The sequence below is a fragment of the Homo sapiens genome, chromosome 8 (genome assembly GCF_000001405.40).
Source record: "Homo sapiens chromosome 8, GRCh38.p14 Primary Assembly".
Lineage (NCBI taxonomy): Eukaryota > Metazoa > Chordata > Mammalia > Primates > Hominidae > Homo > Homo sapiens.
In genome coordinates, this window is record NC_000008.11 from 73,988,012 (window position 1) to 74,004,755 (window position 16,744).

A 16,744-nucleotide genomic window follows, 5' to 3' on the forward strand; every position below is an offset into this window, starting at 1 on the left:
GGCGTGGTGGTGCGTGCCTGTAGTCCCAGCTACTCAGGAGGCTGAGGCAGGAGAATCACTTGAACCCGGGAGGCAGAGATTGCAGTGAGCTGAGATCGCATCACTGCACTCCAAGCTTGGCGACACAGGGAGACTCCACCTCAAAAAAAAAAAAAGAAGAAGGTGATGGGATGATGGAAGCAGAGATTGCAGAGACTGAAGCGATGCATTTTGAAGATGGAGAAATACAAGGATTGTAGCTCTAAAAGCTGAAAAAAGCAGGGAGACAGATTCTTCCCCTTAGTCTCCAGAAGGAACCACCTCTGTTGACACCTTGACTTTAGTACAGTGAAACTGATTTCAGACTTCAGACCGCCAGAACTGTAAGAGAATATATTTACAGTTTTTTGTTTGTTTTTTGAGATGGAGTCCTGCTGTGTCTTCCAGACTGGAGTGTGGTGGTGCAATCTCTCGGTTCACTACAACCTCTGCCTCCTGGGTTCAAGCAATTCTCCTGCGTCAGCCTCCCGAGTAGCTGGGATTATAGATGCCCACCACCATGCTTGGCTCATTTCTTGTATTTTTAGTAGAGATGGGGTTTCACCATGTTGGCCAGGTTGGTCTTGAACTCCTGACCTCAGGTGATCTGCCCGCTTTGGCCTCCCAAAGTGCTGGGATTACAGGCATGAGCCACTGTGCCCAGCCTATGTTGTTTTAAGCCACAAAATCTTTTGGCAATTTGTTACAGCCATTATAGGAAACTAGAAACACCTATCTTTGCTCAGTGGAACCGTCTTCAAATTGGTTATCTAATATAACAAAGTGTTTTAGGCTCATTTTGTACATTTTCTACCCCAGACTCCAAGGAGTCCTGGTTGCTTATAGTGGGAAATGGTATTTTGAGACCACTAAGGGTGTTCATGGGTGGTTGTCTTTTTTTTTTCCATCTTTTAAATTTATTTTAAAATTGTGTTTTTTAAAGAATTTACCATCTTACCCAGTTTTAAGCATAGAGTTCAGTGGTGTTAACTATATTCACCTTGTTGTGCAACAGATCTCTAGAACTCTTTCATCTTGTCAGCTTGAGACTCTATGCCCATTGAACAACTCCCCATTTCCCCCTCCTCCCTTGGACTTTTGCCTTTTTGAAAATGGCAGGGCCAAGAGCCACGGCTCAAACCTGTGGTCCCAGCTGAGCCCAGGAATTTGAGGCTGCAGTGTGTTATAATCACACCTAAGAATAGCCATTGCACCCCAGCATGGGCAACACAGTGAGACTTTATCTCTAAAAAAATGGAAAAAATCACACTTCTGTTGTAAAATATTTTTACCAACGTATGATTATTTTCTTCTTAAGTGTGCAGATTTTTAGGCCAAAACTCCATGCCATTTTTGGCTGCTAACCCTAAGCTATATCCTGTAAAGGATTTCAAGTAGCAAGATATCTAAAGGAATAGCTGTCTTTCTAAAATGGAGTGAGAGTTTTGAAATGAAATACATGTCATAACAAAAGGATGACATTTCATTATTAGGACTCAAAATGTTCTCTTGAGCTCTAGCTTGTTGTAGGTGAATACATTATTAAGACTGGTGGAGTCCCTGCCCACAGCACAGAATTACAGCTAGTGTCCCCTGTTTGGGGTCTTATCTGGCCCTGTTCTGTCCTGTAACTAAACCTGCTGCTGAAAAGAAATAGTTTCCATGAGACTGTTTACTTCAGATCTATAGGTGCAGCTCTCTGGGCCATGATAATTTGATTTGTTGTTGTTATTGTTGTTTTTTGAGATGGAGTCTCGCTCTGTCTCCCAGGCTGGAGTGCAGTGACATAATCTTGGCTCACTGCAAACTCCACCTCCTCGGTTCAAGCAATTCTCTTGCCTCAGCCTCCTGAGTAGCTGGGACTACAGGCACTTGCCACCATGCCTAGCTAATTTTTGTATTTTTAGTAGAGACAGGGTTTCACTATGTCGGTCAAGCTGGTTTCAAACTCCTGACCTCAGGTGATCCGCCCACCTTGACCTCCCAAAGTGCTGGGATTTACAGAGGTGAGCCACTGCGCCTGGCCTGTTTGTTTGTTTTTGAGACCGAGTCTCACTCTGTTGCCCAGGCTGGAGTGTAGTGGCCCAATCTTGGCTCACTGCAACCTCTGCCTCCTGGGTTCAAGCGATTCTCCTGCCTCAGCCTCCCGAGTAGCTGGGATTACAGGTGTGTGCCACCATGCCTGGCTAATTTTTATATTTTTAGTAGAGACGGAATTTCACCATGTTGGCCAGGCTGGTCTTGAACTCCTGACCTCAAGTGATCCACCCACCTTGGTATCCCAAAATGCTGGGATGACAGGCATGAGCCACCGTGCCCAGCTGAGAATTTGTTTTATAAAGCAGGAGGCCCCATCCTCTGGGGGCCGTGGACCAGTACCAGTCCATGGCCTGTTAGGAATCTGGTTGTGGCTTGTTAGGAAGTGGGCTGCACAGCTGGAGGTTAACAGCAGGTGAGCGAGCATTACCACCTGAGCTCCAGCTCCTGTCAGACCAGCAGCAGCATTAGATTCCCATGGGAGCAGGAACCTTGTTATGAAGTATACAAGCGAGGGATCTAGGTTGCGTGCTCCCTATAAGAATCTAATGCCTGATGTTCTGAGGTGGAACAGTTTCACCCTGAAACCATCCCTCCCCATCCCCTCAGTCCGTGGAAAAATTGTCTTCCATGAAACTGATCCCTGAGGCCAAAAATGTTGGGGACTGCTGTTATACAGAGCTGTAGGAGAGAAGAATAATGCAGAGGGAAAAGGAGTGCCTGTCTGTTGAGACTTTCAGGGGGACCTAGGGACTGGTTTTGTTACAGTTGACTGGGAATTGTCTTGTTTATTTTATTTTATTTTTCATTTAAAAAATTTTTTTGAAATGGAGTCTTGCTCTGTTGCCCAGGCTGGAGAGCAGTGGTGCCATCTTGGCTCACTGCAACCTCTGCCTCCCAGATAAAGTGAAGCTCCTGCCTCAGCCTCCTGAATAGCTGGGATTACAGGCATGCACTACCACACCTGGCTAATTTTTGTATTTTTAGTAGAGATGTGTTTCATCATGTCAGCCAGGCTGGTCTTGAACTCCTGACCTCAAGTGATCCACCTGCCTCAGCCTCCCAAAATACTGAGATTACAGGCATGAGCCACCGTGCCTGGCCAAAGTGTCTTGTTTTATTTTTAAGTCTTTGATCACTCTCATTTACAGTAAGTGTTTGAAGAGTACATTCTAAATCATTTTTCTCTCTTCCTTTACAGGAAGTGCTCAAATGTTGAGCACACACACACAAAAAAAGAGGAAACAGTTGGATAGGAACTCAGAAATCATGTGACTGATGACTAAGTTAAATCTTTTCTGCTTACTGAAAAGGAAGAGTCTGATGATTAGTTACTGATCCTCTTTGCATTTGTAAAGCTTTGGAGATATTGAATCATGTTACCATTTCTGTTTTTTTCCACCCTGTTTTCTTCCATATTTACTGAAGCTCAGAAGCAGTATTGGGTCTGCAACTCATCCGATGCAAGTATTTCATACACCTACTGTGGTAAGTAAAACCGCAAAACAAATAATTGTAGCATCAACTATTTTGAGGGTAAGTTTTCACGAGAACCGTACACTGTTGTGGCTGGAACACACGAAACATCAGTGTGTTCCAGCTGCTGTGGCGGACGCTGCCAGCAGGAAAAGCAATAGCTGGCAGCTGCCCCATGAGAATGTTCTCGACCACTCACAGAGCTTGTGAGTCTCTAAACTGTGTTGTGCTTGACCTCCAAGTGCTTCTGTTCCCTGCGTCATCTTTCTCTACCCTGAGCCCAGTTTTTGGTTCTGCCCATTTTTAATAAAACCATCTGCTTCTGAGCTTTCACCTCAGCCTTGACACTTACTAGTTCTTCTTCTTGAGATGGTAGAGCAGTCCCAGCTGCTTCCTGGAGTTGATTTCTGCTCTAAGCTGTGACTCTTGAGTGCTCTTGGAATCATCCCCCTCACTGGATGAAAGCCTGGTTCTGTCACTAGCTGTGTGACCTTAAGCAAAGTACTCCAGCCTTTTTAGCACTGAAGTGAAAGTGATTTTATAGTCTACTTGATAAGGGTGTTGTGAGGTGAAGTTTTTTAGCATAGGGTCACATAGAGACAATAATACTCTTAATTTTTTTTTGGAGTCAGCCATACCCTAATACTATTCACTGGCTGTGTCACTGTCCCCTGCCCCAGCTGCTCATTAGCAAGTGTCCTGGGATCTGAAGGCACAGTGTCAGGCCTGACAGCTGTTTTGGTTCGGTACTTTCCACCGTGCTGCTTACCATGGGTTGGCTGCCCTTTTCCACCCACTAGCAATAGCTGGGAGGTTTAAAGTGGTGCTTCCCAAAATACCAGTTCTTTGAGATTCTTTTGGGAAAATAGGATCTATGACCTAATCATCTGGGAGAGATTTACAGATGTACTTTGGGTTCTGAGAAGTTCTGCAATAAAGGCACCTGTTTAACCACATTTTCAATTTCATTTGTTGTTTGTTTGTTTGTGTTTTAGTCTGGAGTGTATGTTAACTCTCTTGAGAAACATGCTCTGCCAAATGCTAATATAAAGTGACTTTCGGGAAATTGGGATAATTGCCACATGTGAGGAGGAGACTTAGGAGTGTGGCCAGTCACACACCATGGCCCTTCTCCTGGTGGGTTGCACTGAATTCCCTCCAAACGTATGTCTAAAATCTCTCCATGCTGCAAGATCCTTTTGCATTCCCCTCTTCCAGCAAGGCTCCTACTCTACTTGGCCCCCACTTCCCTCTCCTCCTTTGGCTCTTTTGTACCATGTGCTAATTATGCCACTGTGTGTGTGTGTGTGTGTGTGTGTGTGTGTGTGTGTGTGACAGAGTTTTGCTCTGTTGCCAGGCTGGAGTGCAGTGGCGCGATTTCGGCTCACTGCAACCTCTGCCTCCCAAGTTCAAACGATTCCCATGCCTCAGCCTCCTGAGTAGCTGGGACTACAGGTGTGCGCCACCACACCCGGCTAATTTTTTTTTTTTTTGTATTTTAGTAGAGACAGGGTTTCATCATGTTGACCAGGATGGTCTCAATGTCCTGATCTTGTGATCTGCCCACCCCGGCCTCCCAAAGTGCTGGGATTACAGGCGTGTGCCACCTTGCCCGGTTTATGCCACTCTTTATATGGTTTTTATGGATGTAACATTTTGTATTATTATTTAGCTTTCAATCTTTTCTTAACAATAACTCAATTTGTCTTTTTAAAACATTTCACATTTTATCTTATTTTATCATTTATTTTTGAGACAGGGTTTTGCTCTGTTGTGCAGGCTGGAGTGAGTGGCATGATCTCCACTCACTGCAACCTCCACCTCCCTGGCTCAAGCCATCCTCCCAGCTCAGCCTTCCAAGTAGCTGGGACTACAGGCACATGCCACCACACTTGTCTAATTATTAATTAAATAATTTTTTTTGAGTTTCACTCTTGTTGCCCAGGCTGGAGTGCAATGGCATGATCTTGGCTCACTGCAACGACCGCCTCCTGGGTTCAAGTGATTCTCCTGCCTCAGCCTCCCGAGTAGCTGGGATTATAGGTGCCCACCACCACACCCAGCTAATTTTTGTATTTTTAGTAGAGACAGGGTTTTGCCATGTTGACCAGGCTGGCCTCCAACTCCTGACCTCAGGTGATCCGCCCACCTTGGCCTCCCAAAGTGTTGGGATTACAGGCGTGAGCCACCGCAGCTGGCCTAATTATTAATTTTTTTGTAGAGATGGAGTCTTGCTATATTGCCCAGGCTGGTCTGGAACTCCTGGGCTCAAGTGATTCTCCCACCTTGGCCTCCCAAAGTGCTGGGATTACAGATATGAGCCACTGCACCTGGCCTAAAATTTCACATTTTAATCATTTTTGAGTGTTTAGCTCAATTGTATTAAGTATATGCACATTGCTGTGAAACCATCACCGTTGGTGTATCTTTTGATTTGACTTTCTAGTTTTTTTTTTTACTTTGAGACAGTCTCATTCTGTCATCTAGGCTGGAGTGCAGTAGTACGATCTCAGCTCACTGCAACCTCTGCCTCCTGGGTTCAAGCGATTCTTTTGCCTCAGCCTCCTAAATAGCTGAGATTACAGATATGCACCACCATGCCTGGCTAATTTGATTTGACTTTATGAAGGAGGATCTTCCTTCCTTCTCTCTGAGAAACCCTGTGGTCCTTTCCTGCTGCCCCACTGACAAAGGGACTGTGGGCAAGCCACTGGAATACACATCTACAGCAAGATGTTGCTTGTTGCCATCCCCACTGCCATATGACTGCCTTCCCGGCCTGAGAGAATCCATCCTGCCCAGCCAAAAATGCATCACCTGTGGGAAGCACTGATTCCTCTAGGTACCATTGTGAGGGTGTTGGTGACAACAACCTCTGATTCACTGTGATGATTTCCATGAAAAAGAAGAGATAGATTTCCATTTGGTCAAGCTGCTGGGCATCTAAGTGTATGTTTTTTTAAACACAGAGTCTTGCTCTGTCAGCCAGGCTGGAGTGCAACGGTGGAATCATGGCTCACTGCAGCCTCAAACTCTGAGGTTCAAGTGATTTTCCCGCTTCAGCCTCCCAAGTAGCTGGGACTACAGGCGTGCACCACCATGTCTGGCTAATTTTTAAGTTTTTTGTAGTGATGGGGTTTTGCCATGTTGTCCATGCTGGTTTTGAACTCCTGGTCTCAAGCAATCTTCCTGCCTCAGCTTCCCAAAGTGCTGGGATTACAGGCCTGAGCCACTGATTCCGGGCTACAGTGTCTTAATTAGTTCAGGTGCCATAACAAAATACCACAGACTGGATGGCTCAAACAACAAAAACCTATTTTTTCACAGTTCTGGAGGCTAGAAGTCCAAGATCAAGGTGTCTGCATAATTGGGTTCTCCTGAGGCCTCTCTCCTTGGCTTACTGCTGTGTTTTGAATTTTGTGTCCTTGCAAACTCATGTTGAAATTTAATTGCCATTGTGATGATATTAAGAGGTGGGACTTTTAAGAGGTGATTAAGCCATGAAGGCTCTTCTCTCATGAATAAATTAATGTCATTATTGAGGGAGTGAGTTTCTCATAAAAAGACAAGTTTAGCCCCCTTATGTCTCCTGCTTTTGCCCCCTCTTGCCCTTCTGCTCTTCCACCATGGGATGAGACAGCAAGAACGCCCTTGTCAGATACCAGCACCTTCACATGGAACTTACCAGCCTCCGGAACTGTGAGAAATAAATTTCTGTTCTTTATTAAGTACCCAGACACCAATAATCTGTTATAGCAGCACAAAGTGGACTAAGACACTCGCAGCTGGCTGCTTTCTCACTGTGTCCTCACATGGCCTTTCCTCTGTGTGTGCACATCCCTGGCGTTTCTTTGTGTGTCCAAATTTCCTCTTCTTATAAGGACACCAACAAGATTGGATTAGGGCCCATCCTAACAGCCTCATTTTAACTTAATTACCTCTTTAAAGGCACTGTCTCCAAATGCAGTCATATTCTGAGGTACTGGAGCCTTAACATGTGAATGGGGACGAGAGGAATGAGGACACATTTCTGTCGGTCCATAACATACAAAAATGGCAAAAATTGACTGATTTATTCTCCCAGTTTTGGAAAAGGCAAAAAATGTGGGTGTGTGAGTTGGTTCCTAGGATCTTAGGCACATGCTTTCCTATGATCCTGAGTCATTGGTCTCAGTTCTAATCTTTATTTTTTTTTTGCTACAGATGGTTAGAAAATCCAAGGAATTAATAGATTATTTAGTGAAACCAATATTCTCTGAGCATTTAGCATGCACTTACTCTAGGAACTGAGGAGATAAGTGAATTAACAACAAAGACAAAAGTCCCTGCCCTTATGGATTCAGTAAAATATTCAGCATGTCAGATGGTGGTAATTGCTGTGAAAGAAAAATAAGGCTGGGGGATGCGGGGTAGAGGGTGCAAAGATGCAAAAATGGAGAAGCTAGGGGGTTGCATTTTAAATCAGGATGGCCAGCCAGATGTGATGGCACTCACCAGTAGTATAGCCCAGCTACTCAGGAGGCTGAGGCAGGAGAATAGCTTGAGCCCAGGAGGTCAAGGCTGCAGTGAGCCATGTTTGTGCCACTGCACTCCAGTCTGGGCAACAGAGCAAGACTGAACCTAGCTAATTTTTAAATTTTTTGTAGAGACAGTGTCTTGCTGTGCTGCCCAGGCCAGTCCCAACCCCTGGGCTCAAGCAGTTCTCCTGCCTTGGCCTTCCAAAGTGCTGGAATTACATGCATGAGCCACCACGCTAGGCCTAAAACCTGTTTCTTTTCCTTCCTTCCTTCCTTCCTTCCTTCCTTCCTTCCTTCCTTCCTTCCTTCATTCCTTTCTTTCTTTCTTTCTTTCTTTCTTTCTTTCTTTCTTTCTTTCTTTCTTTCTTTCTTTCTTTCTTTTTCTGAGACAGAGTCTTGCTGTGTCACTGAGGCTGGAGTGCAGCACGATCTCAGCTCATTGCAACCTCCCAGGTTCAAGCGATTTTCGTGCCTCGGCCTCCCAAGTAGCTGGGACTACAGCCATGCATCACCATGCCTGGCTATTTTTTTCTGTTTTTAGTAGAGACGGGGTTTCACCATGTTGGTCAGGCTGGTCTTGAACTCCTGACCTCAAATGATCCACCCACCTTGGCCTCCTAAAGTGCTGGAATTACAGGCGTGAGCCACTGCGCCTGGTCCCGGCTAATTTTTGTATTTTTTGGGGGATGGGATTTATTTTTTTGAGATGGGGTCTTGCTCTGTTGCCCAGGCTGGAGTGCAGTGGTGCAATCTTGGCTCACAGCAGTCTCTGCCTCCTGGGTTGAAGTGATTCTCCTGCCTCAGCCTTCTGAGTAGCAGGGATTACAGGCCTGCGCCACCACACCCGGCTAATTTTTGTGTTTTTAGTAGAGACGGGGTTTCACCATGTTGGTCAGGCTGGTCTCGAACTTCTGACCTCAGACAATCCACCCGCCTGGGCCTCCCAAAGTGCTGGGATTACAGGCATAAGCCACCATGCCTGGTCTGTATTTTTTTAGTAGAGACCAGGCTGATCTTGAACTCCTGATTTTAGGCGATCAGCCTGCCTTGGCCTCCCAACGTGTCGGGATTACAGGCATGAGCCACCGTGTCCGGCCTTAAACCTGTTTCTGTCTAAGTCTTCTCCATCTCATCATCCACCTAATTCCTTAGGCCCCAAACCAGAAGTATCCTTAAGTATCTCTTTCCCTCACCTATTACATTATTGTATTAGTCATTCCTGTTTTCATGATCTCCAGATTCTATTCTATATCCAAGTGCTTCTCACTGCTCTCTAACACTCATGCCACATTTGTCTCTCCTTGGCCTCTACAAAAACCTCTTAAATTGCCCTCCCTCTGCTTCAGTTCTTGCCACCATACAATCTATTCTTGACACAGAGGCCAGAGAGATCTTTGCAAAATGAAAATAAGTTAGATAATGTGACCCCTCCTGCTGAAAATCCTCCAGTAGCTTTCACTACAATTAGAGTGAAATCTCAACTTTATACCAAGACCTCCAGGACTCCTCAGGATCTTGAAGCAATACTAAGACTACCTAGAATTACAGTCTAATTAGGGGGTCCTTCCCACAAGTTTTCCTCCCACATCAGATGCCATGTGCAAGCCCTAGGCTGACACCTGTGGTTCTCACTGGCTATAAATTGGAGGTTCCCCTTTCTTGGGTTTGATCATTGTTAGACTAACTCTCAGAACACAAGGAAACACTCATTTATGTTTACTGGTTTATTATAAAGGATATTATTAATACAAAGGATACAGACGAATAGCCAGATGAAAGAGATATATAAGGTAAGGTGCAGGATAAGGGGACCAGAGTGTCCATGTCCTCTCTGGGTGCACCATCCTCCTAGCATCTCCATGTGTTCACCAACCCAGAAGCTCTCCTAAACCTGTCGTCCAGAAATTTTTATGGGGTGTTCATCATGTAGGCATAATCGAATGTTAACTCTGTCTGTAGCCCTTCTCCCCTTCCTGCAGGATGGGAGGTGGGGCTAAAAGTTCCAAGCTTCTCATCATGGCTTGGTCTTTCTCATAACTGGCCCTTATCCAGGAACCCACCAAAAGTTACCATTAGAAAAAAAGATGCTGCTATTGCCCAGGACAGTCTAAGGAACTAGAAGCTCTGGGCAAGAAATTGGGATCAAAAACCAAATGTTAGGACCAAAAATTCTCTTACCACTCCCATTGTTCTGTAAACTACAAGGGTTTTAGGATCTCTGTGCCATAAACTGGGGCAGAGACAAAATATATGTTTCTTATTATATCACAGTATCACAAATTCTGTACACATTTTATAGTTTTTTTTTTCTAGTTCTGTAAAAAATGTCACTGGTGCCAGGCATGGTGTCTCATGCCTATAATCCTAGTGCTTTGAGAGGCTGAAGTGAGAGGATCACTTGAGGCCAGGAGTTCAAGACCAGCCTAAGCAACATAGTGAGGCCCCATCTCTACAAAAAAATGAAGAAAAAAAAATTCACTGGGTGTGGTGGCATGCACCTGTAGTACTAGCGACTCAGGAGACTGAGGTGGGAGGATCTCTTGAGCCCAGGAGTTTGAGGTTGCCCTGAGCTATGATTGTGCCACTACACTTTATCCTGGGTGACAGAGTGAAATCCTGTCTCTTCTCTCTCAAAAAAAAGGAAAAATGCCATTAGGATTTTGATAGAGATTGCTTCAAATCTGGATCTGTAGGACACTTTGAATGGTGTGAACATTTTAGCAACATTGTCTTCCAATCTATGAGCAAGGGATATCTTTCTGTTTCTTTTTGTCCTGTTAATGTCTTTGATCAATTTATTTTATTGTTTTTACTATAAAAGTTTTTAACTTCCTTAGTGAAGTTTATTGTATTCCTCCTGGTACTATTGTAAATTTGATTGTTTTTCTAATTTCTTTTCCAGATAGCTTGTTATAATTTTTTTTTTTTTGAGGCCAAGTCTTGCTCTGTTGCCCAGGCTGGAATGCAGTGGCATGATCTCAGCTCACTGTAGCCTCCACCTCCTGGGCTAAAGCAATTCTCATGCTTCAGCCTCCTGAGTAGCTGGGACGACAGGCACCCGCCACCACACCCGGCTAATTTTTTATTTTTAGTAGAGATAGGGTTTCACCATGTTGGCCAGGCTGATCTCAAACTCCTGACCTCAGGTGATCCACCCTCCTCAGCCTCCCAAAGTGTTGGGATTACAGGTGTGAGCCACCACACCTGGCAATTTTAATTTTTTTGAAACAAGATCTCAATCTGTTGCCCAGGATGGAGAGCAGTGGCACAATCTTGGCTCACTGCTGTCTTGACCTTCTGGGCTCAAGTGATCTTCCCACCTCAGCCTCCTGAGTAGCTACAGGCATGTGCCATCACATCCAGCTAATTTTTGTATTTTTTGTACAGACGGGGTTTTGCCATGTTGCCCAGGCGGGTCTTGAATTCCTGGACTCAAGCGATTCTGCTGTCTTGGCCTCCCAAAGTGCTGGGGTTACAGGTGTGAGCCACTGCACCAGGCCTGAAAGCTTGTTGACAGTATTTAGTAACATTACTGATTTTTGTAGGTTCATTTTATATCCTGCAATTTTGCAGAATTCATTTATTAGTTCTAACAACTTTTTTACATTTTTATTTTCTTTAAAATTTTTTAAAGTTTCTAATAGAGACAGGGTCTTGCTATATTGCCCAGGCTAGTCTTGAACTCCTGGCCTTATGTGATCCTTCCACCTCTGCCTCCCAAGGTGCTGAGATTACAGGCATGAGCCACCATGTCCAGCCAGCTCTAACAATTTTTAATGAAGTCTTTAGGGATTTCTATATATAAGACTATGTCATCTGCAAAAAGATAATTTTACTTCTTCCCTTCCAATTTGGATGCTTTTTTTTTTCTTGACTAATTGCTTTGGCTAGGACTTCTAGTACTATGTTGACCAAGAGTGGTGAGAATGGACATCACTGCCTTGTTCCTGATCTTAAAGTAAAACCTTTCAGTTTTTCACCACTGAGTATGATGTTGACTGTGGGTTTTTCACATATGACCTTGTCCTCAAAGTCCTAGCCTATCTTAATGATCTATGAAATGCCTTTCAGGTCATTCTCCCATTGTCTTGATGTAGAAGAACACTTGGCTCCCTTCTATCCATACTAATTTCGTTATCGAATTTTACTATAAGTGGCCAAAAGAAGCCATGCAGCACCTTGAGCACTTTCCTGCTTATCTATTTCTTCTACCAGATAGAGTAGATCCTTGCTCTTAAGTTCCATTTTTCACACAGTTTTAGGGAACAGACACAAGTCCATCAAGTTCTTTGCAACTGTGTAGCAAGGATGGCCTTTACTGCAGTTTCCAATACCTTGTTTTTCATTTGTGTCTGAGGCCTCATCAGAATTGCCTTTACCTTCCACATTTCTACCAACATTCTGATTATGACCACTTAAGTAATCGCTAGGAATTTCCACACTTTCCCTACATTTCTTCCCTTCTTCTGAGCCCGCATCAGAATTGCCCTTAATGCTCTGTTCATGGCAATATGGACTTTTTTCTAGCCTGTTCCTCCAAACTCTTCCAGCCTCTGCCTATTATCCAGTTTCAAAGCTGCTTCCATATTTTTAGGTACCTGTTACAGCAACACCTCACCTCTCTGGCACCAATTTTCTATCTTCATCTGTTTTTTGCTGCTATAACAGAATACGTAAGACTGGGTAATTTATAATAAACAGAAATTTATTTGGCTTATGGTTCTGGTTGTTGAGAAATCCAACATTGAGGCATTGCATCTAGCAATGGTCTTCTTGCTGCATCATCCCATGGCAGAAGGGCAGAAGGCCGAAAGGGCACTTGTCAGGGGTGGGGAAGGAGGCTATACTCATCCTTTCATCAGGAATCCACACCCACAATAACTAATCCACTCCTGCAACAACAGCATTAATTCATTCACAAGGGCAGAGCCCTCATGAACTGATCACCTCTTAGAGGTTCCACCCCTCAACACTCTTGCACTGGGGATTAAATTTCCAATGCATGAACTTCAGGCAATGCATTCAAACCATAGCAACACCTTATAGTTATGACAGTCTGTTTTAAGCTAATGACAACTTAAATTGAATCACATATAACAACTCTACACTTTAGGAGTTGGAGACCAGTCTGGGCAACAAAGAAAGCCTCTATCTCTAAAAAAAAAAAAATTTTTTTTTTTTTTTGAGACAGTCTCGCTCTGTCATACAGGCTGGAGTGCAGAGGTGTGATCTCAGCTCACTGCAACCTCCACCTCCTGGGTCTGAGTGATTCTTGTGCCTCAGCCTCCCGAATAGCTGAGATGACAGGCACGTGCTGTGCTGACATGCCCAGATAATTTTTGTATTTTTTGCGGAGATGGGGTTTTGCTATGTTGGCCAGGCTGATCTTGAACTCCTGACCTCAAACCATCGGTCCACCTTGGCCTCCCCAAAGTGCTGGGATTACAGGCATGAGCCAGCACACTTGGCCTCTACAAATTTTTTTTTAATTAAAAACAAAACAAAAAACAGGCCACATGTGGTGACTTATGCCTGTAATGCCAGCACTTTGGGATGCTGAGGCAGGAAGATCACTTGAGTCCAGGAGTTCAAGACCAGCCTGGGCAACATAGTGAGACCTCATCTCTACAAAAAAAAAAATTAGCTGAGTGTGGTAGTATACACCTGTAGTCTCAGCTATTGGCAAGAGGATCACTTGAGCCCAGGAGTTAGAAGCTGCAATGAGCTATGATTGCATCACTGCACTCCAGCTTGGGTGACAGAGCAGACCCCCGTATTTAAAAACAAACCAACAAACAAAACTATTTCATTGGGCTTCTTGGATTTGTATTTCCATTATTTCCATTTTCTTCCCTAGATTTGGGAAGTTTTCAACCAACCTTCCTTCCTTCCTTCCTTCCTTCCTTCCTTCCTTCCTTCCCTCCCTCCCTCCCTCCTTTCTTCCTTTCTTCCTTCCTTCCTTCCTTCCTTCCTTCCTTCCTTCCTTCCTTCCTTCCTTCCTTCCTTCCTTCCTTCCTTTCTTTCTTTCTTTCTTTCTCTCTCTCTCTCTCTCTCTCTCTCTCTCTCTCTCTCTTTCTTTCCTTTTCTTTCTTTTTGAGACAGAGTCTTGCTCTTTTATCCAGGCTGGAGTGCAGTGGCGTGATCTCAGCTCACTGCAACCTCTGCTTCCCAGGCTCAACTGATTCTCATGCCTCAGCCTCCTGAGTAGCTGGGATTATAGCCATTATTTCTTTGAATAAACTTTCTGTAGTCTGTTCTTTTTTTCTTCCACTTCTGGAACTCTCATAATGCATATATGGTTCTGGTTGGTGGTGTCTCACCATTACCTTAAGTTTTCTTCACTCTTTTAAATTATTTTTTCCTTTTGCTCTTCTGATTGAATTCTTTTCCAGTGATCTCTCTCTGAGTTCACTGATCCTTTCTCTACTTGGTCTAGTCTGCTGCTGAACCCCTCCAGTGAACTTTTTAGTTCAGTTATTGTGTTCCTCAGCTCCATGATTTATTTATTTATTTCTTTTTTTTTTTTTTTTGAGACAGAGTCTTGTTCTGTTGCCCAGGCTGGAGTGTAGTGGCACAATCTTGGCTCACTGCAACCTCCGCCTCCTGGATTCAAGTGATTCTCCAGCCTCAGCCTCCCAAGTAGCTAGGATTACAGGCACATGCCACCACGCCCAGCTAATTTTTGTATTTTTTTCATAGAGGTGGGGTTTCACCATGTTGGCCAGGCTGTTCTAGAACTCCTGACCTCAGGTGATCTGCCCGCCTCGGCCTCCCAGAGTGCTGGGATTACAGGCATGAGTCACCGTGCCCAGCCTTCAGCTCCATGATTTCTGTGTGGTCCTTTAAAATGTTTTCTTTCTTCTTGTTGAAATTCTCACTGCATTCATGTATTGTTCTCTTGACCTCAGTGAGCATCTTTATGGAGGTATTTTAAATTGTCTGTCAGGTAAATCATATAACTTCATTTCCTTAGTGTAAGTGAGGAAGATTTGTCTTGCTCCTTTGTTTGAAACATCTTTGCCTGATCTTTCATTTTCCTTGTCTCTCTGTTTGGCATCTACACATTACAAAGCAGACATCTTTTTCAGTCTTCACAGATTGGCCTCACACAGGAACATACCCACACCTATTGTTGTGGGAATCAGGAGGACGAGAGAGACCTCGGGGGAAAGCAAGAGGATCTTTATTGAATGCACTCAGACCCAGCAGACTTAACATCCAAAAACTGGGCCCTGAACAAGGACAGCACTTGACTTTTATACACACTTCTAAAAGGGGGTGGGCTAGCTTGAAGCAGGCTTACAGTGGCACAAAAGCAAGGATATAGAGGCAGAACAATTAATCCAATTGTGACAGGTTCATAACTCAGGACTATACATGAACATTGCTATGCAACCCAGATGTCTGTTATCTAGGTTTTGCTCAAAAGAGCCTTGCACTGGTTTATCTCATAACCTTCACCATGGTGCCCAGACGGCTGTAGTTCAGGCCTGCTCAGGCTTCTCACGACCTTCGCTGTACTTCTTAGGTAAAACAGAATACTTGAAGTTCCTAGTTACAGAGAACAAGAATCTGTAAACTCATATCATAAAAGAAAGGAAAATTTGTTTTTCCTCTCCCTATGTTGAGGGAGTGCTGGAAGAGTCTCCAGAGCACATTTCTTTGTGTCCTATCTTCTCAGATAGTGTTTATCAAGACTTTTCCTGGGTCTGGGCCTTGCCTGCTACTGCCTTTGAGATGAGTCAGCCTAATACAGGAAAGCTTATTTCTTTCTCTTTTTAATTTTCTTTTTCTTTCTTTCTTTAATTTCCCACTTCACTATTAGCCTGGTTAGAGATTCTGGGGTCCTCTACCAACTCTTTCTCACTTCAGGGAGATGCAGGCAGCTGTGTTTTTTTGTCCACCTATTCCATACTGAGCCAGAGATGGGGTGGTGAAGGGAACTGTGGCATCTACCAGCCCAAGCTGCTGTCTCCATTCCCCTGCCAGGCAGCTAGACTATGCCAGACCTGTCAGAACTCTAGGACTGATGAGACAGATATAAGTTTTCTGGGGATCCCCAGAGAAATTGGGATGCTGGATGCATGGATTAACTCTTTCCCTCCCCGGGAGAAAGCTGAGAGCTAAGATTTTTCATCTTCTCACTCTGTGCTGAGCAGAGGGGAGGATTAATGATGCCTATCTGCCCAAGCCACTGCCTTTATTCTCCCCTGGGTGGTAGACTGTGCCAGACTCATCAGAGCTCCAAGACTGGCAAGACAGAAGCCAGTCCTCTGGGGAGCCCTCGTGAAAAAGTTGGTGTTCTGGACATGTGAAACAACTTCTCTCCTCCCATGGGTGGAGCTAGGAGCTGGTTGGGGGGGTCTCTTCCTGATTGTATGACACCACACCAGGGTAATAATCTCTGATTAGACAGTGTCCCAAGTCTCCCTACTGGCTTTGTTGAATCTGGTTTTGTGTTCTCCTTGCATGCAGGAGTCTTTCAATTAGTTTGATTTTTCATAAAGGGAATATTTCTGTAAATTGTTGTGTTAGTGGAGGCAAGAAGAGTTCAGGGCTTCTGATTCTGCCACATTGCTGATGTCATTCTTCTGGGGAGATATTTTCAATCATCATCAATTTTTCTTATTTTATAATTTTAATGCAAGATTCATCTTAAAAGGCTGATATTCAGAATACTATACTTAATGGAGATG

The 16,744-nt window shown here is 44.2% G+C and overlaps 1 protein-coding gene across 6 annotated transcripts in view, besides 2 other annotated features; it reads left to right on the forward strand.

Moving 5' to 3' along the window:
* The first annotated feature begins 3,380 nt into the window (after nucleotides 1-3,380).
* Nucleotides 3,381-16,744, forward strand: part of LY96 (lymphocyte antigen 96) — a 108,466-nt gene continuing 95,102 nt past the window's right edge. For all 6 annotated transcript variants that reach the window (XM_017013299.2, XM_017013300.2, XM_011517508.3 and 3 more), the window contains exon 1: nucleotides 3,381-3,543. In XM_017013299.2, the coding sequence (XP_016868788.1) occupies nucleotides 3,432-3,543 (112 nt within the window). In that variant the 5' untranslated portion in view covers nucleotides 3,381-3,431. The remainder of the gene's footprint in view (nucleotides 3,544-16,744) is intronic.
* Nucleotides 3,623-3,722: an enhancer, noted in NCBI's record as "active region_27538". NCBI's record gives its function as "activates an Ori minimal core promoter by ATAC-STARR-seq in GM12878 lymphoblastoid cells {active_cell/tissue: GM12878}" and the evidence as "EXISTENCE:reporter gene assay evidence [ECO:0000049][PMID:35858748]".
* Nucleotides 4,093-4,162: an enhancer, noted in NCBI's record as "active region_27539". NCBI's record gives its function as "activates an Ori minimal core promoter by ATAC-STARR-seq in GM12878 lymphoblastoid cells {active_cell/tissue: GM12878}" and the evidence as "EXISTENCE:reporter gene assay evidence [ECO:0000049][PMID:35858748]".